Source organism: Homo sapiens, chromosome 8 (genome assembly GCF_000001405.40).
Source record: "Homo sapiens chromosome 8, GRCh38.p14 Primary Assembly".
Taxonomy (NCBI): Eukaryota; Metazoa; Chordata; class Mammalia; order Primates; family Hominidae; genus Homo; species Homo sapiens.
The window spans coordinates 127,070,149-127,094,521 of NC_000008.11; the positions used below are offsets into that span (position 1 = coordinate 127,070,149).

At 37.9% G+C, this 24,373-nt stretch overlaps 2 long non-coding RNA genes and 1 pseudogene across 2 annotated transcripts; 1 reads left to right on the plus strand and 2 right to left on the minus strand.

Annotated features, from left to right (window-relative positions):
- Positions 1 to 2,545: 2,545 nt before the first annotated feature.
- Positions 2,546 to 12,073, minus strand: PCAT2 (prostate cancer associated transcript 2). The gene is made up of 4 exons (NR_119373.1): positions 11,973 to 12,073; positions 8,822 to 8,985; positions 6,678 to 6,762; positions 2,546 to 2,770 (listed from the first exon to the last, which is right to left on the minus strand). It is a non-coding gene; the product is annotated as a prostate cancer associated transcript 2 (long non-coding RNA).
- On the plus strand, positions 9,726 to 22,447 carry PRNCR1 (prostate cancer associated non-coding RNA 1). Its single transcript, NR_109833.1, has one exon. It is a non-coding gene; the product is annotated as a prostate cancer associated non-coding RNA 1 (long non-coding RNA).
- SRRM1P1 (serine/arginine repetitive matrix 1 pseudogene 1) lies at positions 16,114 to 17,362 on the minus strand (annotated as a pseudogene).
- Positions 22,448 to 24,373: the final 1,926 nt, after the last annotated feature.

Genomic DNA, 24,373 nt, shown 5'->3' on the forward strand with positions numbered 1-24,373 from the left:
ATGGCTTTGAACTGTGCTGGTCCACCTATACATAGATTTTTATCTGCCTCTGCCACCCCTGAGACAGCAAGGCCCACACCTCCTCCTCCTCAGTCTACTCAACGTGAAGATGATGAGGATGAAGACCTTTATGATGATCCACCCCACTTAATAAATAGTAAATATATGTTTTCTTCCTTATGATTTTCTTAATACATTTTCTTTTCTCTAGCTTACTTTATTCTAAAAATCCATTATATAATACATATGACATAAAAAATATGTTAATTGACGGTTTATGTTATCCATAAGGCTTCTGTTCTACATTAGGCCATTAGTTTAGTTTTTGGGAAGTCAAAGTTATATACAAATTTTCAACTGTGCAGGTGGCCCAAATCCCTAACTCCCACATTACTCAAGGGTCCACTGTAAGTTGAAAACTCCTGGAAAGGATTCATCACTGTAGATATTAGGGCTTTCATGATTCATGGGGGGAAGTCAAAATTTCAATATTAACAGGGGTATGGGAGAAGTTGATTCCAACCCTTATCGATGACTTTGAAGGGTTCAAAGATTTAGTGGTGGAAGGAGCTGCAGATGTGGTAGAAATAGCAAGAGAGGCCTGGCGTGGTAGCTCACGCCTGTAATCCCAGCACTTTGGGAGGCCAACGTGGTGGATCACAAGGTCAGGAAATCGAGACCATCTTGGTCAACATGGTGAAACCTCATCTTTACTAAAATACAAAAAATTAGCCGGGTATGGTGACGCATGCCTATAATCCCAGCTACTTGGGAGGCTGAGGCAGGGGAATCGCTTGAAACCAGGAGGTGGAGGTTGCAGTGAGCTGAGATCACGCCACTGTTCTCCAGCCTGGCCACAGAGCAAGACTCCATCCAAAAAAAAAAAAAAAAAGAAGAAAGTAAGAAAGAAAGAGCAAGAGAACTAGAAGTGGGTCCTGAAGATGTGACTGAATTGCTACAATCTCATGGTAAAACTTGAATGAATAAGGAGTTGCTTTGTCTGAATCAGCAAAGAAAGTGGTTGCCTGAGATGGAATCTACTTCTGGTGCACAGGCTTTGAACATTGTTGAAATAAAGACAAAGGATTTAGAATATTGTACATAAACTTAATTGATAAAGTGGTAGCAGAGTTCAAGAGGATTGACTCCAAATTTGAAAGAAGTTTTATTGTAGATAAAACGTTAAATAGCAGCACATTCTACAGAGAAACCTTTCAGGAAAGGAAGAGTCAATTTATGTGGCAAACTTCATTGTTGTCATATTTTCAGAAATTGCCACAGACACACCAGCTATTAGCAACTACCACCCTGTTCAGTCAGCAGCCATCAACACTGAGGCAAAATCTTCCACCAGCAAAATGAATATGAGTTGCTGAAGACTCAGACATCTTTAGCATTTTTTAGCAATAAAGTTTTAACTAAGATAGTACATTTTTAAGACATATGCTATTGCACATTTTATACACTACAGTATAGGGTAAACATAACTTTTATATGTATTGGAAACAAAAAAAATTTATATGACTCACTTTATTGTAATATTGGCTTTACCGTGGTGATCTGGACACAGAATCCACAGTATCTCTGAGGAATGCCTGTAGTTTGAATATGAGTGATGCAAAGAAGGATTTTTAGCTATTGTAGTATCTCTGGATGTATTTCCCACAATCTTTTTGGGTTATAGTTGCTCTTGTATCTGTTTTGCCTTTCCCAATAGTGATTGCACTTAGCAGAATTTGTGCTAGGAAACATTGTTATTGTTATTGATACAAAAGTAATTTTCTGTAAAGAATAGATCATTTTGTCTGATTCATTATTTTAGTGGCTCTCTGAAAAGTATTTTTCTTCATTTCACTTCTGAAACAGAATCTAGAAAAAAAAAATACCATCAGCTGAGACATTTAGAAACATCTGTACTTTCACACAATGCATAGACAACAAACCCTTACAGAATTATTTTTAGGAACTCTATTGAAATTAGATATTTTCTAAAAGTATTTGCTAAAAGAGAAATGCATTTTAGCTTACATCATATTGTTTAATTTTAAATCTATCATATTGTGACAATAACAAGAATAAAAACAATTTCACCCTCAGTGTAAAACTTACAGATTTTGTTGCCGAGAAACTTCAAAACATACCTCTGAATAGTAAGAAGTGTAGTAAAATTTAAATGAAATGTTGGGCCAAATATAGAATGATTGAAAAATCACCCTTGAATTATAAAAATTTGTGCTCATCTTGTGAATACTTTAAATGTCTTGCTCATGGTAAGGACTTCGTGCTATCTTTGTACAATTAACATATAGGGCAAATTTCAATACCAATGACAGTAGATGTAATTTCACATATCAAGTAGTTTCCCTAATAATTTAGGACTTTTTTCACTGACTTCTTGTCATATATGATTCTGTCATTACTTTTTTATATAGCTCAAAATATGGCTGATGGAGTGCTTGTGCCCTTCCATGGTTTTTTCATTTGGTATCACTAGTATTATATTTATTTATTCTTTTTTTCCAGGACATTTGCAAGACATTCGTCAAGTTTTGAGGTTTATTTAAGGTATAACTAGATAATGTATTATGTAAATCAGCCTAACCAGCACGCATAAACTAAACCATGTCACAGGATGCCAATAGTGACAGACGGAGTGCTGATGCCTCTGGAAATCTCTTCACATTGTGGAGTTTCTCCTCTTCTCTTGGGATATCTTCTCTATTTTCTGTGACAGATGCCTATTTGCTAGATCAACTGAGAGCATCAGTGCCTATAGGTAATGAAATACAAATAAAACTCAATTTGTGTTATGGTCTGAATGTTTATATTCCTCCAAAATTCATATGTCGAAATCCGGTCCCCAGTGTGTTGGTATTAAGAGTCGAGGCTTTTGGGAAGTGACAGGGTCATGAGAGTGGAGCACTTGTGAACAGGATTAGTGGTCTTATGAAAGATGGAGCGTCTGTTTTTCCCTTCCCCCATGGGAGTGGGAAAATACGGATAGAAGCCACTATCCATGGGGAACAAGCCTCCACCAAAAACTGAATCTGCTGGCACCTTGATCTTGGACTTCCCAGCCTCCAGAACGCTGAACAACACATTTCTGTTGTTTGTAAATTACCTAATCTAAGACAGCAGCCTGAGTGGACTAGGACAATTGGTTTCTTTTTTGTTTAGGTAGCAATAACTAGAAACAGAATTTCTACAGAGGCAACACACACAAAAATAGGTGTGATTTTATCAAATTAAAATACTTCTGCACAGTAAAAGAAACAATTACCAAAGTGGAAAAAAAATAACCTATGGGGTGGGAGAAAATATTTGTAAACCATGTATATGATAAAGCGTTAATATCCAAAATGTATGAGAAATTCCTCCAAGTCAATAGCAAACAAACCAATAGAAAACCAGAAGCAAAAGAAAAAAGAAAATAAGTTAACCAATTTGAAAAATAGACAAAGAAACTGAATAGACATCTCTCGAAAGAAGACATACAAATGGTCAACAGATATCTGAAAAAGTGTGGATATCACTAATCAGGAAAATGCAAGTTAATATCACAAGATACCACCTCACAGCTGTTAGGATAACTATTAGCAAAAAAAACAAAAGCGGCCCCTTGCTTTGTGTCTGCCAGAATCCATTATGGCTGCCACTATAGTTCTCCAGGAGTCTGGATAGCAGTCCCGGCTGGGAATGTCTGGAGTCTGCAGGCCCCAGTCACTATGGACAGTTTTTCCTTCAGTATTGGGGTTCTAAGAGGCAGAAATTAGAAATAGGAATGCAGATGGTTGCAGAGTGTGGTTGGGGGTTAGAGCGGCGCCCTGGAAAAAAAAAAAAAAAAAAGATGAGTGTTGGAAATGATGTGCAGAAAAGGGAACCCCAGTATATTATTAGTGGAAATGTAAATTGGTGCAGCCTCTATGAAATAATGTATATTTCAATACATAATAATGTATATTCCAAAATTGTTTTTATAGAGTAGATTTTAGATGTTCTCACCACAAATAAATGATAAGTATGTGAAATGATGCATGTGTTAGCCTGTTTTAATCATTCCACAATGTACACAAGTATAACATTTACATTATACCACATAAATATATACTCTATATATATACTATATATATATATACTACTGTTTGTCCATTTAAGTAATTTTTTACAAATAATTGTTCTAAATAATAAGATTATCTTATAAAGGAGACAGTAGGTTTGTTTTGCTCCAGATGGTAGAGTTAATCCCTGAAGCTAGAAGATGCTTAGGGTGAAGTTTGTGCTCAAAATATTTTTCTAAAAATAGAGCAGACTGCCTCAAAGGTGAGGTATGTTGCAGAAAAAAGTCACTGTAAGGTATGTGTGGGATGCTGTTTGGGGATAATCAGGGACTCAGGATAGGGAACTAAGGAGTTTAGGTTGTCTGCTGTATAGAGGAAACTAGAGGAGATAGTTTATTCAGCCATCATTAATTCATTCATTCAGTAAACATTACTGAACACCTGTGTGCCAGGTGCTGTGATTGACACTGGAGATTTAAAGTTGAATAATATCTAGTCACTGGGGCCCTGATGTCAAGGCACATGCTCTAGTGGAAGAGAGGCACACGTAGCTAAGAGTGTGTGGAAAGTGTTATGAGGAAAGTATGTTCAGGATAGTGTAGAGGCTGAGGAAGAGGATTCCCATCTCACCTGCTGCGGGCAAAGAAAGGTGGATGGTATTCATTAGGGATTATCACAGGAGGGATCAACTGAACTAATCCTTAAAATATAATACAGTAGGAGCCAGCCCACAAAATGCTAATAGAGGCAGTGGGGAGGGTGGTGGAAAAAAAAAATAGGTATGAGTCAAAGGAGAGAATTCCAGACAGATGAAAGCTGTAAAAATAGTTTAGTTTTACTGTAAAAAGGTCAAAGCCAGAAGTAAGGGGCTGCAAAGTCCATTTAAGCTGAGAACTTTATTACAGCTCCTGTTCCAAGCCCATGCTCTGTGCGACTGCAGATGGGATATTCTAATACCACTTGTGGAAATCAATCTTTTTGGACAAAGACCAAGAGAGACCCATGTTGTGATTCACTCTCTATGGCAACCCAAAAGGAAGGGTGAATGCCTGCAGATGAGAGTTGCCTCTTCATGCCAGCCACTTAATAGGCTATGGAAAAGGGAAGAGCAGTCCCCATGGTGGGCCTAATAGGAATCATAATCTAACTGATTATCACAGCAGTGACTCTTTCAAATCTGGCCTAACTGAAGCTAGCACCACACCAGGATCTCTGCTGGGCACACACCAATCACCCAGGAGGTCAGTATCATCCCCATTTTACAGATTTGAAAGCTGAGGCACAAGGTAAATAACAGTTATGCAGAAGTCTTGCTTCAGTGTCTAACTTCCTCATCTCACTTTATTCTGTTTTTCAATAGGAGAAGAGATATAATCTCATGATGAAAAGTGCCATCTAAAGTGGCACCTTAGACACAGTAAGCAAACTGGATTGGAAGTGAAGAAGTCAGTCTCAAGATACTTGACAATGTCTCCTATTTGTAGATTGTTTAGCAAAATGCTTTCACCTGAGTTATTTCATTTGTTGCTCACAACCAATCTGTCTGGTAGGAAAGGCAGATGATATGTTCACCTCCAGATAAGAAAAATGAAATTCAGAGAGGCCAAGGGGCTTGCTCAAGATTCCACAGTGAAGAATCTACTTGCAGGAATTTTAACAAAGGTTTTCAAATTCAGAAGTCCACAGGATGACTGCCCTTGAAATCCAGTGGTAACATATAATAAGGTGTCTTTGAGCAGGTAAGAGAGGACCAACCTTTTCTAAAGCCTTTCTCCTCTTGCTCTCTGTGCGCCAACCTGAGCAGCCTCCTGAGAGATTCTGGAACATGCTAGAATTTTTCTTGCTTTAGGGCCACAGTTCATGTCACTCCTTCTTCCTGGAATGTTCTTCACAAGCACTGTGTGGCTCCTTCTTATCCTTCAAATATCTGCTGAAATGTTCCCTTCTTAGAAAGGACTTGCTGACCACCCTGATGGAAGTGCCCTCTCCAGCTCACCTCTTTACTGACTCTGTTTTTATTCCTTTTGCAAGCACATTTTATAATCTATATGTAGTGTTTAATGCAACAGTTTGCTAAGGACTGAAATTTGCATTCCTCCAGCAATCAAAACCCACTGCGATGGTTTGTGGAGGTGGGACTTTTAGGGGGTAATTAGGTTTAGATGAGGTTGTGAGGGTGGGGCCCCTCATAATGGAATTAGTGTTCTTATAAGAAGAGACAGAGAGAACGAAGCTCTCTCTCTTTGTGTGTGTGTGTCTCTCTCTCTCTAAGACATGGGAGGACACAATGAGAAGACAACTGTCTACAAGCCAGGAAAAGGGACGTCACCAGGAACCGAGCCTGCTGACATCTTGATCTTAGACTTTCCAACCTCCCAAACTGTTAGAAATCATTATCTGTTGTTTAAGCCACCCAGACTGTGATATTTTGCCATGATGCCTGAACTGACTAATATACAGTTTACCTGTACATTGTTTGTTCCTCTAGATTATAAGCTCTCCAAGGCAGGGACCATATAGTTCTTTAAAAGATAATGTCATGGCTATAAGTTTACTGCTATTTCCCCATCACATGGGAAAAAGAATTGTCAGAGTTGTCAGCCATTAGAGTTTATTTACCTTAAGGGTGTCTGACGAAATGATCTGATTATCTCCTTAACTTCCTAAATAGCTCAAACTTCATAATGTTTGAATTTGGAAATATCTGTTGATTCAAGAGAGACAGATTACATGGTCTCTCTTGAACTTTGGACATCTCTTCCACAAACTTCCAAATATTAGGCCATCTATTACCAGACCTTCTGAACTTAAACAAATCTTACTTTCAACCCCACTTTAGCCACCTTCACCATGGCCTAACTTTTGCCCTTGTTATTTGTTATCCATAGTTTTCTAAACTTAGAATCCTTAATCACTGGCATTATAGTTGTTTACTTCAACCTCCAACACTTACAGGTCCCTCAAATCCTCATTTATTCAACCCTTGTTTTTTGTCATCTTATAAACTGCAAATTCTTGAAAATCACATGTCCTCTCTATAAATCAGATCCCTTCATATCATGTTTTCAATCTGAGTTTGGCTCCATGATTAATCTTCCAAATCAAAGGTTTACAAACTGTGGCCTGTGGAATAAATCTGGTCTGCACCTGTTTTAGTAAATAAAGTTTTACTGGAACACAGTCATACTCATCCATTTACATATTTTTTATATCCATTTTCATGTTACAATGGCACAGGTGACTAGTGGCAACAGAATCTGTGTGGCTCACAAAGCCTAGAACATTTTCTATCTGTCCTTTATAGAAAGAAGTTACCAACCCCTAATCAAAATCAATAATCTATGAAGTAGAAAGTAAAAGATGATCTTTTGGTGCTGACATGAACATATTATGATTAAAAAAACACTTTATTGAGGTTTGATTAGCATACAGAAGCTGTACATAACACATACAACTTGAAGGGTTTGGTGATCAGTATGCAATCATGAAACCATCACTATGATGAATGTCATAAACATATCCATCACCCCCAAAGGTTTCCTCTGCCTTATTTATTTATCTATTTATAAGAATACTTAACATAAGATTTGCTACCCTCTTAGCAAATTTAGCAACTCTTTGAGTATGCAATATAATATAGTTAACTATAGACACTATGCTGCACATAGATTTCTAGGACTTATTTAACTTGCGTAGCAAAAACTTTGTTCTCTTTGCCCAATACCTCCCTGTTTCCCCCTCCTTCATCCCCTGGTAACCATCATTCTACTGTCTGCTTCTATGAGTTTGACTGTTTTAGATTTCTCATATGAGTGGGATCATTTAGTATTTGTCCTTCGATGTCTGGCTTATTTCACTTAGCATAATGTTCACCAGGTTTATCAATGTTGTTGCAAATGACAAGATTCCTTTTTTTATTATTAAGGCTAGATAATATTCCATTGCAAATATATACCACATTTTCTTTGTCTATTCATCTGTAGATGAACATTCAGGTTGCTTTCATGTCTTGGGTATTGCGAGTAATGTTGCAATGGACATAGAAGAACAGGTATCTCTTTGACATACTAATTTCATGCCTTTGGGTAAATACCCAGAAGTGAAATTACTAAATCACATGGTAGTTCTATTTTTTGGTTTTTGAGGAGCCTCCATACAGTTTTCCATAATGGCTGTACTAATTTACATTCTCACCAACAGTGTAAAAAGGTTCCTTTTTCTCCACTTCTTCACCAACATTTAAATTTCATCTTTTTGATAATAGCCATTCTGACAGATCTGAGGTGATATTTAATTGTGGTTTCAATTTGCATTTCCCCAATGATTAGTGATAGGGATATTGGGCTTTGTTATTAATAACCCACTGGCCATTTATGTGTCTTCTTTTGAGAAATATCTGTTCAAGTCATTTGACTATTTTTAATGTAATCACTTGTTTTCTTATTATTGAGTTGTTTAATTTCTCTCTGTATTTTGGATATTAGAGCCCCTTAACAGATGTATTATTTGCACATATTTTTCTCTTAACCTATGGGTTGTCTCTTTATTTTGTAAATTGTTTCCTTTGCTGTGCGTAAGCTTTTTAGTTTGATGCAATACAATAACTAATAGATTAATGGTCTCTTTTTGTTTTTGTTGCCTGTGCTTTTAGGGTCATGGTCAAAAAAATCTTTGTCCAGATCAGTGTGTGGAGCTTTCCTCTTACGTTTTTTATTTCTAATAGTTTTATAGTTTCAGATCTTATATTTAAGTCTTCAACCCACTTTGAGTTGATTCTTGTATATGGGATGTGATGTGTTCAATTTCATTCTTCTTCATGAGGACATCCAGTTTTTTCAACACCATTTGTTGAGAATTCAATAAAGTTGCAGTATATAAAATCAACGTAAAAAATCAGTAGGTTTTTCATACACTGACAATGAACTATCTGGAAAAGAAATTAAGAAAATAATCCCATTTTAATACCATAGCAAAATACTTAGTGGTAAATTTAACCAAGCAAGAATATGGAAATATCTATATTCTAAAAACTATAAAACATTGATCAAAGAAATTGAAGATTACACAAATAAATGGAAATATGTCTCATATCCATAAGTTGAAAACCGATATTGTTGAAATGTCCATACTAAATGTGATCTAAAGAGTCCATGTGATTTCTATAAAAAATCCAACGTCATCTTTTATCGAAATTGAAAAAAAAATGCTAAAATTTATATGGAACCAGAGAAGACCTGAATAAACAAAGCAATCTTGAGCCATAAGAACAAAGTTGGAGGCATCACACTACCTGATTTCAAAATATATTGCAAAACTATAGTAATCAAAATGGCATAGTACTGGTGAACAAACAGATACAAAAACCAATGGAATAGGATAGAGAGCCCAGGAATAAATCCACAAATTAAAAACCAACTGATTTTTGACAAAGATGCCAAGAATGGGGAAGGGAGAGTTTCTTTCATTATTTATTCTCTGTATTCTTTTCATCTCAGGAAAAATATCCAGTTTCCTCAATTGTATATCCATTCACTCACCCGATAATTTCTTCATTCACTTATTTGTTTATTCATTTAATCTCAATTGTTTGTTCATTCTGTAAATATTCAGATTTCTTTTTATGCATTTTCTCAGAATTGGAAGCATAATACTGAACAAAATAACTATAAATCTCAGCCTCCCACTCCCATATTTACAGTTTGATTAGGGAGGCACATTTAGATATGCAGTGATAATTGCTTTGCTTAGAGAAATTCAAGGTGATAGAATGCATGGTGACACCTAACCCAGACTGGTAGAGAAAGGGAATTCTTCCACTGGGAATGACATGATTATCTAAATAAGTAGGCTCAATCAGGTCAGGAAAGGGCCTGAAAGACTATTTCAAGCAGAGGGAAGGTATTTGCCAAGGCCAGGGTGTGTAGTGGAGAGAATGGGCAGTGGCAGAGAATTATGAAGTGTTCCAATGACTAAAAGTAAAGTAACAAGTTCCTTGTCCAAGAGCTTGGATTGTATCCTAACTGAAATGAGTATACACTAAGTGTTTGAAGAAGAGGGATGAAATGGTCAAGTTTTCATTACACAAAAATAACCTGTTCCTTTCATTTTATGTTTATTTATTTTTTTAATTTTCTGACTGCTCCTTTCTGGAAATCTCAAATTTATATTTGCCAAATATTGTCACATTTTCGATGGAGAATACAAACTAAGAATGGGTTAGGGAACTGAGTCAGAAAGTCCCTGTTGTACAATTCAATCATGTTTTTCTAAGGATGTGCTTTTGGACATTATGGAAACTATCTTAGGCTCTCACTTGGATCCTAGAAAAGAAGGCACCTGTTAAAAGGAATGTCCAGCCCCACCTAATTTGGCAGCTGCCCCTCCAAGCTAATGACATTAGGGATGTAGTGGATTCAAGAGGCTGATGATGCCATCTGGTCAACTCATGTGACTATTTCTATCAGCTTTATTTCTGCAACATCCTGTGCCCACAGAGGGGACACAAAATCGCTTTATAATTCCTTCACCATGTGAAGATACAGATACACCCAGAACCTTAAAGGCAAGAATATGATTGAAATGTCAAATGGGGACTTGGTGATCTAAATTATGTCCCCCAAAAGCCAATGTCTTGCCACCACCAGTGCCCTATGGGTGGAGTTTCTAAACAGATTACTCAAAACACAAACTTTCAAAAAGGGAAAGTCATAACCCTCTAGTCATCAGGGCAATTACGGAATAACATTGCTGGAGTAAGGTTTTCTCAATGCCCAAGAGATGAGCTGGCAATGCCACAACAATGTCCAATTCTTAGTGGGTCCAAGACCATGTGTTACATTTCCCTCCCATGATTACTCACAGCTTCACAGTTCTGCTGTCCTCTTCGCCTCTCTGCCACCTCTTAACTGCACCTTTGACCTCCTACCCCTAAGATTCAACCCTGTGAGATTACTTGTCTTTTCATCTACACTCTGGTCACTCTGACCCCCATTCTTTAGATTCAGGATTTTCTCTTTTCCTGGCTTACTCTCCAGCACAAGTAGAAAAATATTGTGCTTCATTGGAAAATGCATGTTGTTTGAATCACACTCTTTCAGATTATACAATTGTAGTCTTTCATTATCTTTGAGCCATTTTATAATGCTGTAAACTAATATTAATGCATATAATTCTTGTCTATAGACATGTAAATTGTGTCCAGGGGTGATTTAATTGACTTTTCTTCCCCATTGTGGAAAAGGCTAGTAGTTTTGCCTCCATTTGCCCATTTATTTCTATATTCCTGATCTGTAAATGCATTTCTGGGTTTTCCCTTGGACTCATTCTAACATCTCTTCTTTTTCCTCATTAATTAATTAAATTAAATCTTTAACACCTCTTCATATTTTTGTCAGTATGAGAGTATAAAAAAAAATCTTTTTTTGAAAATTATCTTTTAATAGGTGACAAAAAGAATAAACACTGAACAAGAAGTCCTGAGCTCCTACTACAATCCAAAGTGAACTAGTTGCAGTGCCATAGGATGATGTTTCTCCTGAGACTTCTTTACTAGGATCATTTAGACTGTTATAAATGCAGATTCCTGGGCCTCTCCTTAGACCCACTGAATCAGACACTCTAAGAGGAGGGTCAGAAATCTCCATCTTAGCAAGTTAATGTCCAGGAGAGTTAGAGACTCACTATGACGTATGATAAAAAGTAGAAGGAAGGACTTTCCAGCACCTTAAACTACTTGGAAAGATAGATTAATGTCTAGATGAAACTTGATGAGACTTTAGACTAATATGTTACATATACATCAGGAGATGCATGTATAAACCAAATCCAAATAACCCAAAGCAAAATTTCTTTTAGAAATAGTGATAAATAAATGAGTGAGGAGTTTGTCACTCACATCCCCCAGGTAAAACATACCTTTTTAGCCTAAATAAATGCTATAGTTTGAATGTGTTCCCTCCAAAATTCAGGTACTGATAGTTAACAGCAGCCGATATGATGGTATTACACAAAATAGTAGGTTCTTTAGGAGGTTGTTAGGCCATGAGTGCCTCCCCCAAGAATGGGATGAAGGACCTCATAAAAGAGGCTTCTCACAGCATTGTGACCTCTAGCCCTCCCACCTTCCATAAGTGAGGACACAGTGTTCCTCCCCTCTGGAGGATGCAGCAACAAAGTGTCATCTTGGAAGCAGAGGAGCCATCACCAGACAACAGAACCAGCCAACAGCTTGATCCTGGACATCTCATTTTCTCCAGAACTGGGATAAAATAAATTCCTGTTTTTTAATAAATTTCCCAATTTCAGGTATTTTGTGATAGCAGCAAAAACAGACTAAGACAACTAGTATGAAAATATACATTAACAAATAAAATTAATCATAATATATGTTTGCTTTTAAAAGAAAATAAATAAGCCAATATGCTTTCTGTTGATTGATTGATTTACTAAACATTGATTGGCCATCTCCACTGGGGATATGGCATTTAAGAGATCTCTTTGATCTTAGTACTTTTACTGCTTTTTAAATAGGATCAAATACACCCAAGGTAAAAAATAGAACACACTATACGTTACATTTTGGAACTGTTAGAAATTCCTTTGAAGCTAAAATTACTGCTATCATTTGACAACTTTTACCCCTAAAATAATGTGGTGCTCACCAGCTTGCTTAAGTTACAGCACTTGCTGTCTTCTCAGATACAATATCAGAAACTTATAATCCAAGAAAAATCTAAATGGCAAGTGTGAGTTAATGGAAGCCTCATAAAGCAAGAGGTGTTTTGGAAGTGTATGGAAGACATCAATAAATGATATGTATAACATCAAGTGCAAAAGTGTGTGCTAGGAAAGTTCAAAAAAGAAAAAAAATATGGTAAGGTAAGACCAGAGATTGGGGAGTATATAGCTTTTGGGAATTCAGGAAATGCTAACGTCTATGGAGAATTTGCATAGGTGAAAGATCAGATTGGAAGCCTTTCTCTGTGGAAGCATTGTGGATCTAAGTCCAGAAGTGATCCTGAGCCACCTACTATGGAAAGGTGTCAGTGAGCAAGAGACTGTCTGACAAAGGTGGAAGCTGAGCAGACTTCTACTGCGCATCGCCTATGTACAGGCCAGATTCCAAGGGCTGATATTACACTGCTAGTTTGATCTTTCTCAGATAGCTGGGTAGAGAGGGAAAAGTTTCACCCCAAATACCAGATGCCTCCAAACATCTAGATGCTTGGTGTTATGTATTTCAAACAGCAGGTTTGATAAAGCTGTTTTTACTCTCCAGTTGGATGTTGGTTGTCAAGGCTGTCATTAACTTCTGGGAGTTCCCAAATCCTCAGAGAGAGAGAAATAAGCAGTTCTGCCTGCAATCAGAAGCTGGCTTTGAGCCCCACATGGCAACATGCCTGTATTTAATTAGAAGTGGCTTAGTTCTTGGGATTTACTGTGGATTGAGTCTACGAAGCTGGAAGGTTTTATCCTGAGTATTCCACTGTCTCCTCATGTGGATTTTATCAAATTTCTCCTTTAACCATATAAGCGCTTTCAAAGTTGACATATCACACTTAGTTATGAGGGGAACCTAGAAGTATGATTGTGACGTGCATTGTTGAGAGACCATGCTTTGTAAGTGTTAATAATTAAAATTATTTTGAACACTAATTATGCTGAAGACTGGATTTTCTACTCCTTCAGATGTTTTCCAGTGGACATATTTTGCCCTTTTAATAAATTGATTGCGAACTTATCTTCATTTCACCTTTATGATGTTATACCTTTTCATTTTTGTCTTCTCATAGCTAGGGTCTCCTGGTCCCCAAATGTAGACACACATCTTACACCAATCCCAGAGCCATTTTGTATAAGAGCCACCATGGATTTAACCAGCTTTAGCTCCAGTATTTGAACATAATGTTCAGCATCATCACCTGGCCACCAAATCAAAACTGAGCACCCTTTAATCCATCAACAAGTTCTCTGCAGCCATGCAAGGTTATGAAATGGGCACAGACATCAATATACAGTCTTTGTGTTTAAGAGGTTCATGGTCTACCTGAGAAATGCATCTTTAAACCTAAAGTAGACGCTCTGTTTATTCCATAAATGATTTTTAAGCATCAATGGTATATCAAGCACTGTACTGGCTTCTGGGCTATAATAAATATATAAAGACCACAAGTTTGAATTTCATGACATTGAACTATAATGTTTAAATGTTATAATAATCATAGTAAATGTCCTTGAGGAGCTACGGAAGATTCCTGCATGAAGCAGAAACAAGAAGCTGAAGAAAAAACAACTGGCTTTGGGGGCTATATAAATATAACCCTCAAATTAAAAACTCAATAGTTTGATTGATTACCAAATCAATACAGCCAGAAAATAAATGTATTACCCCAAAAGCTTGAGTGAAGAAAGACTTCTGTAAGTTACTAGAAAGCGCTAAGGAAGAAATAAAAGAATGATATTCCTGAGAGCCAGGTGCTTTCTGTAGGACACACAGATACAGAATGAGGGAAAACAGAAAATTCTATGGTTGTGGATTCAAAATAGAGGCATCACCATGTCTATCTCATCAGGGTTTAACCAGAGGAAACCAAACCAGTAAGATATCTGTATTAAGAGATTTCTTGCAAAGAATTGACCTATGTGATTGTGGGCACTGGCTAGGTAAATCCTAAGTCCACAGAGCAGGCAGGAAGAAAACAGGCTGGGACTTGTAGGCACAGGATGAAGCTGCAATACTCATGTGGATGCTGCTCTTCTTCAGGGAAGACTTGGCTCTGCTCTCAAGGACTTTCAGGTGATTAAATCAGGCCCACTCACATTATCTAAAATAATCTCCCTTACTCAAAACCAAGTGATTATGGACTTTAATCACATCTATAAAATATCATTATAGTAACACCTAAATTAGTGTTTGAATAACTGAGAGTTGTAACTGATATGGTTTGGCTATGTCCCCACCCAAATCTCATCTTGAATTATAGTTCTTATAATCCCCATGTGTTGTGGGAGGAACCAGGTGGAGATAATTGAATCATAGGGGCAGTTTCTCCCATTCTGTTCTCATGATAGTGAGTTAGTTCTCAGGAGATCTCATGGTTTTATAAAGGGCTTCCCTCTTTGCTCCACTTTCATTCTCCTTCTTCCTGCTGCCATGTGAAGAAGGACATGTTTGCTTCCCCTTCTGCCATGATTGTAAGTTTCCTGCGGCCTCCCCAGCCACGCTGAACTGTGAGTCAATTAAATCTCTTTTCTGTATAAATTACCCAGTCTTGGGCAGTTCTTTATAGCAGCATGAGAATGGACTAATACAGTAACTTTACCAAGTGGACACATAAAACTGATCATTACAATGTACAGTGAATATTTGGTGAGTTAATAGATATATTCATAACTGAATGAAAGAGGATGGTGATTCCTACTTCAGGGTGGTATTATGAGAGTTAAAAGGGTTAGCATAGATAGAACACTTTTCTATGATTGATCTAAGGTTGGCTTTTAGGGACTACATTATACATATGGGTTTTGTCTTCATGTTTTTGCTTGCATTTCTCTCTCTGCCCACTCTTGGGGCTATTTGGATGTCACCTCTTCTTCTTCTGAGCTCCAGTCTATGTATTCCCTGTTCCATCATCACAACCACTGAAGTCTACACTCCTCATTAGATTCAGGGAACCCAGATGCCAGCCAAAGACATCCCTTTCCCTCATGACCCAGTTGAAAAAATTCTCCACCCTTCTGTTAATTCTAGAATATTTAGGAGTAAAGATCTTTTCCCTCAGATATCTGTCAATTCCCGGCCTTATATCTCAAAGCCCCTTTTCATCCAGGTTTCCTAGATCATTTCTTGTCGTCCCTGTGCTATAACTCATTAACCCAGGCATAAAACTCATCAGCTACTAATGTCCTCTTCCATCCCAGACTCCCCTCACACCAATAATTCTTGAATAGAGCAACCCAAATTGAGAATTTTAAGTAAAATTGAAGGTAAATTTAATTGCAGGAGGACATACAACATTAACCTTTAAATAGAGATCCTAATTCTTAAAAAAAAAAGTCCTCATTGATCTCGGGGCCGTTTCACGCAGGTGCTTTTCTAAATCATCAAGGTTATCTTCAGCTTCACTTTCAGTCTCCTTCTTCGGCTCTGGCGCTGCCACTGGCTCTTCCTGTGCTAATGTGGTTGTGGCAGCTGCAATGGCTGCAGGGGTCACAGCAGCTGCAGCAGCTGCAGCCACAGCCTTTTCCTTCTTGTGTTTTTTGTGCTTCTTGTGCTTCTTATCCTTTTTGTGTTTCCTGTCCTTCTTTTTCTTCTTTTTCTTTCCATCTCCTTCTTGATCTGAATTTCTTGGCAGTGATGGGCTCGGTGTTGGGCTTTTGGCCTTTTTGACCGGTACAGCTGGTGACCAGTTTGTAGACGGTGACTGAGACTGGATGGGGGATGGAGATGCTGGGGGCTTTTTAGCTGCTGGCTCAGGAGACCCAGAGACAGATCGGGAGGATGAGACCCTCCTTACAGACTGTGGGCTTGGGGAAGCAGCCTTTTTTTATCTTTTTAGGTTCCGGAGTCCTGGAGACTCTCCTAATGGGCCTAGTACTTGGAGACGGGGACTGCCTTCTTTGGGGTGATGACGACGCTCCTCTTCGAACGGGTGGAGGACTTGAGGTCTGAGGAGCTCGAGGCCGTGATGAGGGCGAATGCCATTTGTTTGGATGCGGTGATCGGGCCTCCCGGGTAGAGCGGCTTGGGGAAGACCCTTTCCTATGCTTGGATGATAGTGAAGGTGAACGTCTCTTGGTGACTGGGGAGCTTCTTTGGAAGGTGGAGAATGGGAGACCCGCCGCTTTGGTGGTGGAAATGGTGATGCTCTTCGTTTAGGAGGGGGAGGAGGTGAAGCCGTTCTTCTCTTTGGAGGTGGAGAAGGAGAGTATCTCCTCTGTATTGGAGGAGAGTATCTTCTAGGAGAAGGTGAGCGCCGACGTAGGGGAGGAGAAGGAGTCCTTCGTCGTGGTGGTGGTGGTGTGGGAGTCCTGAGCCGTCGAGGATGAGGGGCGGGAGAAGGAGACCGTCGCCTTCTGGTGGGTGGTGGGGATGGACTTCTCCTCCGTCTACCATGAGGGGAAGTCTCTTTTTGGTGCTTTCGTGGTGATGGAGAAGCACTCCGGGAAGGGGAATGTCTCCGCCGCTTGCCAACCTCACCATTCTTCACATGGGATCTCTTGGGTCGTTCATCTTCTGAGGAGAAGGAGGAACCAGAGTCAGATGAAGACTGCTGGTTTTGTCGTCTGTATTGGCGTCTCTGCTGAGATCAATGAGGAAGGCCCAAGTGTCCCCACAGTCTTAGGGGGAAATGTTTGTTATGATGTAAATTTTATTTGGTTTGTACGCAGTTCAATTTCAAAATTGCTAAAATGTGTTTGAGCTTTAGACTATAACATTTGTTGTAATAATTGCTAGGTTGAAGTTCAACATGTAAAAAAAGGGGGCATGGATTTACATTGCAAAAGGTGTCCACAGTGTATTAGTGACATTCTTTCATTGACAGCTGACATAATTCATTGAGTGAAATATTTTAAGCCAAAAAAAATTCCCTTTTTAAAAAAGGGGGTTTAAATACTGTTGACACTTTTATGGTTCCTTTAAATGCTCTGGCTATTCCCAGAGGGGTTTTTTTGTTTGTTTTTTTGGTTTTGATTTGCTTTTTGTTTTTCTTTCTTCTTCTTACATTTTTTTCCATTTGAGTCTTAGCTCCCATTTAAGTTATGCTTCTGACCTTGTATGGTCTGTAAGCTTGCCCAGAAATAAGACCACTGTTTTGAACTACCACAAAAGTATAAATGAATATTTTAATGCCACAGTCTTTCCTGTTGCCTGTGGAGTCTCTGCTGAAATGAATCAGGATTCGAGCTCTAGGATAAGACAGAAAATGAAAGCATGTTGTTTGCCAGGACACTGTGGGTTTATATTGATGTGTAACAACTTGATTTGGAACACTGGACTCTCATTCTGTTCTTCTGGTTTTGTTTTTTTGTTTTGTTTTTTTCTTTTGTAAAGGCCATGAACTAGTCCCAGAAAGGATTCCTTCAGTTACATACAATTTGTTTAATGAAATGTCATGGCTCTGTTCATATTTTTGTCTTGTTCTTCCAATTGGTGTATACAACTTTCAGAGCCTCTTGTATTTGGAAGGCTGGAAGGGCCCAGACTTTGGAATAGTGTCTCGGTTTCACTGTTTTTGTTTTGATTTTTTTTTTTTATTTTTTTTAAACTAAAGCTATATAAAGCTTGTGGATTAAACAGAATAAATTTCTAAATTTAAAAATTTAAAAAAAAAAAAGTCTATTGTCTTCCCTCCCCTACCCTAAGCAATATGCAATAGTGGCTCTTCAATAGTCCCAGACTCTTCTTCTCTTCCTGGACTGCCCATCTCCTGATCAACCCTTAATTTCTCTTCCTTCTCTCACCCTTCTTTTCAGGATTGAATTAATGAATCCTTTCTTCTCACTCATGCAGAGTAAGTTTCTGCCTCCCTGGGTCTTTCTGTTTACTGACCGCAACAACTTCAGATTATACCTCTTCTACTCCAAGTGCTTTCAAAGAAAGTCCTCTGCCAAGACAAATTCATTACGTTTTTTCCCTCTACCTGTTTGCCTTTATTCTCTTTTGTATTTCATCTTCTCATCTAGATTGAATAATCTTTGAGAGCACAGATGTTTATTTATATTTTTCCTTTCCATTTCTACTCAGCATGAGGTGTCCATTGAACAAACTTGATGAATTTTTATTGCTTAATATCTTGCTAGAGGTGGGGAGAGAGGTTGGGGGCGGTTAAGGAACTATCAGCTAGCCTAGGAGATATTAGAGCTGCAGAGATTTGGCTATCTTGTTCAACGTTATATCCCTAGGGATTAGTACATAGGCTTGCAAATAGCAGGTATGAATAAAAAATTATTGAATGAGTAAATGAATTTAAAATATAAGTTACTTAGGCGGTATCTTCAGGCATATCTGTGTTTATGTGGTATTCAATGGCCCACAAATGTCTACATCCTAATTCCTAAGATCTGTAAACATTAATTTGCATGACAAAAGAGACTTTACAGATGTGATTAAATGAAAGGATTTTGACATGCAGATAATATCCTGTATTCTTCATGTGGAACCAATGTATTTACAAGGGTCCTTATAAGTAAAACAGAGAAGCAGGAAAATGAGGGTCGCAAAAAAAAAAAAAAAAACAAACATGAAGACAGAGAAGAGGTTAGAGTGATGTTGGCTTTAGAGATGGAAGGAGTCACAAGCTGTCTTAAAGGAATAAGACAAGCTGTCTTAAAGGAATTGTTATAAAGGAATAGCTGAAGCTGGGTAATTTATTTTAAAAAGGTTTATTTTGCTCACTATTCTCATGTCTGGAAAAGTTTAATATTGGGTAGCTGCATCTGGCAAGGGCCTCAGGCTGTTTCCACTCATGTCAGAACGTAAAGGGGAGCTGGTGTGTTTAGAGATCACGTGGGGAGAGAGGAAGCAAGAGAGAGGGAGGAGGGGCCAGGCTTTTTTTAAACAACCAGCTCTTTTTTTAAAAAAAAATTATACTTTAAGTTCTGGTATACATGTGCAGAATGTGCAGGTTTGCTACATAGGAATACACATGCCATAGTGGTTTGCTGCACCCATTAACCTGTCTTCTACATTAGGTATTTCTCCTAATGCTATCCCTTCCTTAACCCCCAAACCCTGACAGGCCCTGGTGTGTGATGTTCCCCTCCCTGTGTCCATGTGTTGTCATTGTTCATCTCCCACTTATGAATGATAACATGCAGTGTTGGGTTTTCTGTCCTTGTGATAGTTTGCTGAGAATGATGATTTCCAGCTTCATCCATGTCCCTGCAAAGGACATGAACTTATCCTTTTTATGGTTGCATAGTATTCCATGGTGTATATGTGCCACATTTTCTTTATCCACTCTATCATTGATGGGCATTTGGGTTGGTTCCAAGTCTTTGCTATTATGAACAGTGCTGCAGTAAACATACGTGTGCATGTGTCTTTGTAGTACAGTGATTTATAATCCTTTGGGTATATACACAGTAATGGAATTGCTGAGTCAAATGGTATTTCTGGTTCTAGATCCTTGAGGAATTGCAACATTGTCTTCCACAATGGAACAACCAGTTCTCTTAAGAATAAAAGTGAGAACTCACTTCCCTGGCCCCAGAGAGAGCAAAAGCAATTCATCCCCATCACCCAAACACCTCCCATTAGGCCCTACCTCCAACATTGGGATCAAATTTCAACATGAGGTTTTTAGGGGACAAACATCCAAACTATGTCACAAGACAATTCATGTAAGCAGCCTCTAAAAGATGGAAGAGGCAAGGAAACAGATTCTCCCCTAAAGCCCACAGAAGGAAAGCAGCCCTGCCAACTTCTTGATTTTAACCCAGTAAGACCCGTTTTGGACTTTGGACACCAAGAGCTATAAGATGATTATGTTGTTTTAAGCCATTAAGCTTGAGGCAATTTGTTACAGCAGCAATTGGAAACTAATACAGATCACATTCTAATTCAATTAGTATTGTTCCCAGTTCTCTGGACCTCAGATTTCTTTCCTGAAAAACATTAAAAATAATACCTGAAAGTTTTGCACACGAGTGCAGAGTGCCTATTTACTAGAGAGATCAGCATTTGTTTAGGCTCTGAATAGATTTGAGGATGAAATTAAATAGCATAAATAAAGTTCCTAGTGATGCTTCTGATAAAAAAATATCTCCTTCAAAATGCCAGAGGCAGGTCCTAAAAACCCACAAAGCAGGTGAACTGGCAAAAGACTGTAAAAAGCAAAGTAGAGGTTCCTCTTCAAAGACTTTCCTCTCCATCTAATTAGGAATAAATAGTAACTTATCTTAGAAACAAAATTTATTCAAAGACCTGTGCTAACATTCTGAAATATCTGCTAGCCGTAATAAATAAATCGATGTACTTTATGTTCTTAGCTCCCACAATTTAACCTAAATATTTGCCCTGGCATGCTTATACTGGTCCAAGCAAGCATTAGGTCATAGCCTGTTCCTCTTCTTTATTTTAAGGTGTTTTTACCTTTGTCAGCATGCCACAAGTTACTTCCTCCTTCCTTTGTTCTCCTCTGCCTTTGACTCTTTTAAAGAGTCCTAAGTTGCTAGCCAATCAGGACAAATACAGAATGTGAGGTCCCGTTTCAGCCAATGGAAAGTGGACACAGCAGGAAGGTGGATGGGTCAGGTTATAAATGACCCTGTCTCCTTTGTTCGGTGTACTCTTGTGGCAAAACTGCTGGCAAGTGTACCCTTTCTGCAATAGGTAAAAACTGCCTTGCTGAGGAAATTAAATTTATGTTCAAGTGCTATTTCTTTATGGCACCGGGGAACAAGCATTTCTAACAAGACTATGTAATTTAATTTCAGGAACCTAAAAAAGTGGGATGAAGAACTGAGGTTGCTAATAAATCTATACAACTTATAAGTAAATATTTAATTTACTAACATATAATAATAAAGACATCATTGTAAGACAATGTTAAAACATTTTACACATTTTAAATGTGCAATAGTAAATCCTTCACTATTCAGGGATTATTTGGAATCCCTTGTCACCAGAAGCTCTTAAGGAAATAACTTCTACTTCGTTGCAAATATGTTCTTGGCTTAGTTGAGGTAATGCAAATACTAGAATACTTGTTTGTTTAACAGCTTATTCTTCCCTGAAGCTGTTCCTCCAGTCCCTGCCAGTGGGATCTTATGTCTCCAGGAGTACTTAACACCCCTAATAGCCCCATCTTTTAAGCCTCCCTGGGACCTGCCCTCGCAGTACCTCTTATACCTACTCCACTTCCTCCTCATGGCCTCCTGCAGAATGCCATTCTAAAATTAGGTTCTATTTTCCTCGCCCGCATTCTCTTTTGCAAAGCCTCCAAAAAATTTACTTTGCTTCTCTGCGCCTGCTTTATCTCTATTTTCTACACTCGCTCCTTCTTTTTCTAATTATCTATAATAGGCGTCACAAAATTTGCATTTGTTGGAACCAAAATTTCCATGGTTGCCTCAAAATATACAGATGTAAATTTGCATATAATTAAATTTTGCATAAGGGAAACTCTCATTTGGGGAGATATGCAATGCCCAATAAATGGCAGTTTCCTTCAATGTCCCCAGGCCAGCCTCCCAGTCTGTGTGTTTCCCCCTGGCTGCAGCTACCAGGACTCTGCTCTGGGGATTTACGGACAAGGGTATCAAGTTTTAATTAAACTAACCCTCTCAAACTGAATGAGTGGCTTAAAATCTTCCTGTAAAGAAACCGCAAAATAATAATGCTGGCATTGAGAAGTAAGAAAAGAGCGAGCCAGCACCCCCACCCCCCAAATCCTGTGACAAGGTGTATTTTTGTGTTTTGTTTTTTTTCTTTGGCAGCATTATGGGGGAAAAGCAATGATGATCTAATGAGATCTGATAAGAAGTTAGCCCAAAACAAGGAAATTGTTGAGGGTTCTCTTTGAAGTATGGATTTATACCCACCAACCTTAGCTGCGAACCTTACCTCAAGTGTTACCTGTGCCTTGAGATGTTTCCTGGTCATAGTACTAAGCTATCATAATGAGCAAGACATTCAATAAGCAAGTGTGATGGCTATGAGGACAGATCTTAACAGGTTTTTTTTTCTGGAAGGCTTAAAATCATGCATTACTCAATCTAATACTTCACGAAATTTCAGTAAAACCTAATGATAATATAGAAGCTTGTGTTGTAGTTTTGTAATCAACAGCAAAACATAAAATTTAAAAAAAACATACATTACTGGGGCTGTATCCTGCTACAATAATAAGGCTGACATAATAGATGGAGAACAATATGGTAACAAGCCAAAATGTATTACTTCATCCACAAATAGTATCGTGCTATATATAGACAGACTTGTTAAAAATTTAAAGAAATACACAATCAATTACACAATAGAAAATTTGCTATATGGTGCATGGTGGCATGCAACTACAAATGTTTCTAACATGTTTCTCTTCATAGGATTTTCTGAATTTTCATTTAATATTCAAGCACATCAAAAACACCTTTTCAGGTGTGATCCTATACAGCAAAGCTGTCCTCACAAACAATAGTTGACTAAATAAACACATGGCTTTATGGAAGAAATGTGTAAGTATAGCCATTGTTGGAGCAGATGCTCTGCTTAAAAAGAAAAAAAATAAGTTAAAGTTATAGATCTCACCATGCTTATTTACTGCTTAAGTCATAGCCAATTTATTGCACCAAAGTTGAAGTTCAAAGCATAAAGAATACTATATATAATGCAATTAATGAGGTTGATGTCCCTAAAACAAGAGAGAATTAGTAAATGTTTTACAATAGTTTTCATGAGATGGGAAATGACAATAGAAATCTTTGTTACAATGCAGATTTTATTGTGGAAATGATCTCATGGCAAAGTTTTTAAAGAGGCTGCAGAACAATAAAGAGAGATAACACATTTTGCTTTTATGAAAAAGCCGATGTTCCAAATTTGCTGACCTTCTCTGTAAATAAGAAGTGACTGTCAGTAGCCAGCAGATGTGTTTATAAAAATAACCCACTTGATCTGTCCCTGCAAGGTAAGAGTGGCATTTTCAAAGTGCATGAGAGAACTGCTCTCAAGAGAAAATCATACTGTAAAGACAGCATTTCAAAAACATTTATTTGGAAATATTTAAATGATGTGATCTATTTATTTATTTGGTCAAAAATGCCCAACTTGCCTAACATTATTTTATTCCTTAAAACACAGATCAAGCAACAGATCCTACAGTTAGACTCTTCTGATCACCCTGAGAGTTAGTTACCCCTTTCTTTGGTTTCTTCTCTTTAACGTCCTGCATATATGCTGCCATTGTGTTTATAGCACAATATCAGAGTGTGTTATTTATACGTGCATCTCCCTCATTAGATTGGGAGTTTCTTGATGTCAGAACACAGCAATTGTCCCACCAGAATAAAAAGAATATTGCCAAAAGATGCTCTATAAATGTTTGGCCATTGGTTTAAAAAACAAATAATGGACCAATGGGCTCAAAAGCAAACTGGCTAATATAAAAATAATAATAACAACCACAATAATAAAATAAGGGCTAACACTTAAACGGTTGTGTACTCACTATGTACTAGGCACTGATCAAAGTACTTTGTACATATTTTCTTATTTAATATTCGCTACCATCATATTACAATATACTGTTATTAACCCCAATGTATAGATGTAGGTGAAGAAACTTGTCACAAATCATACAGCTAGTTGTCTG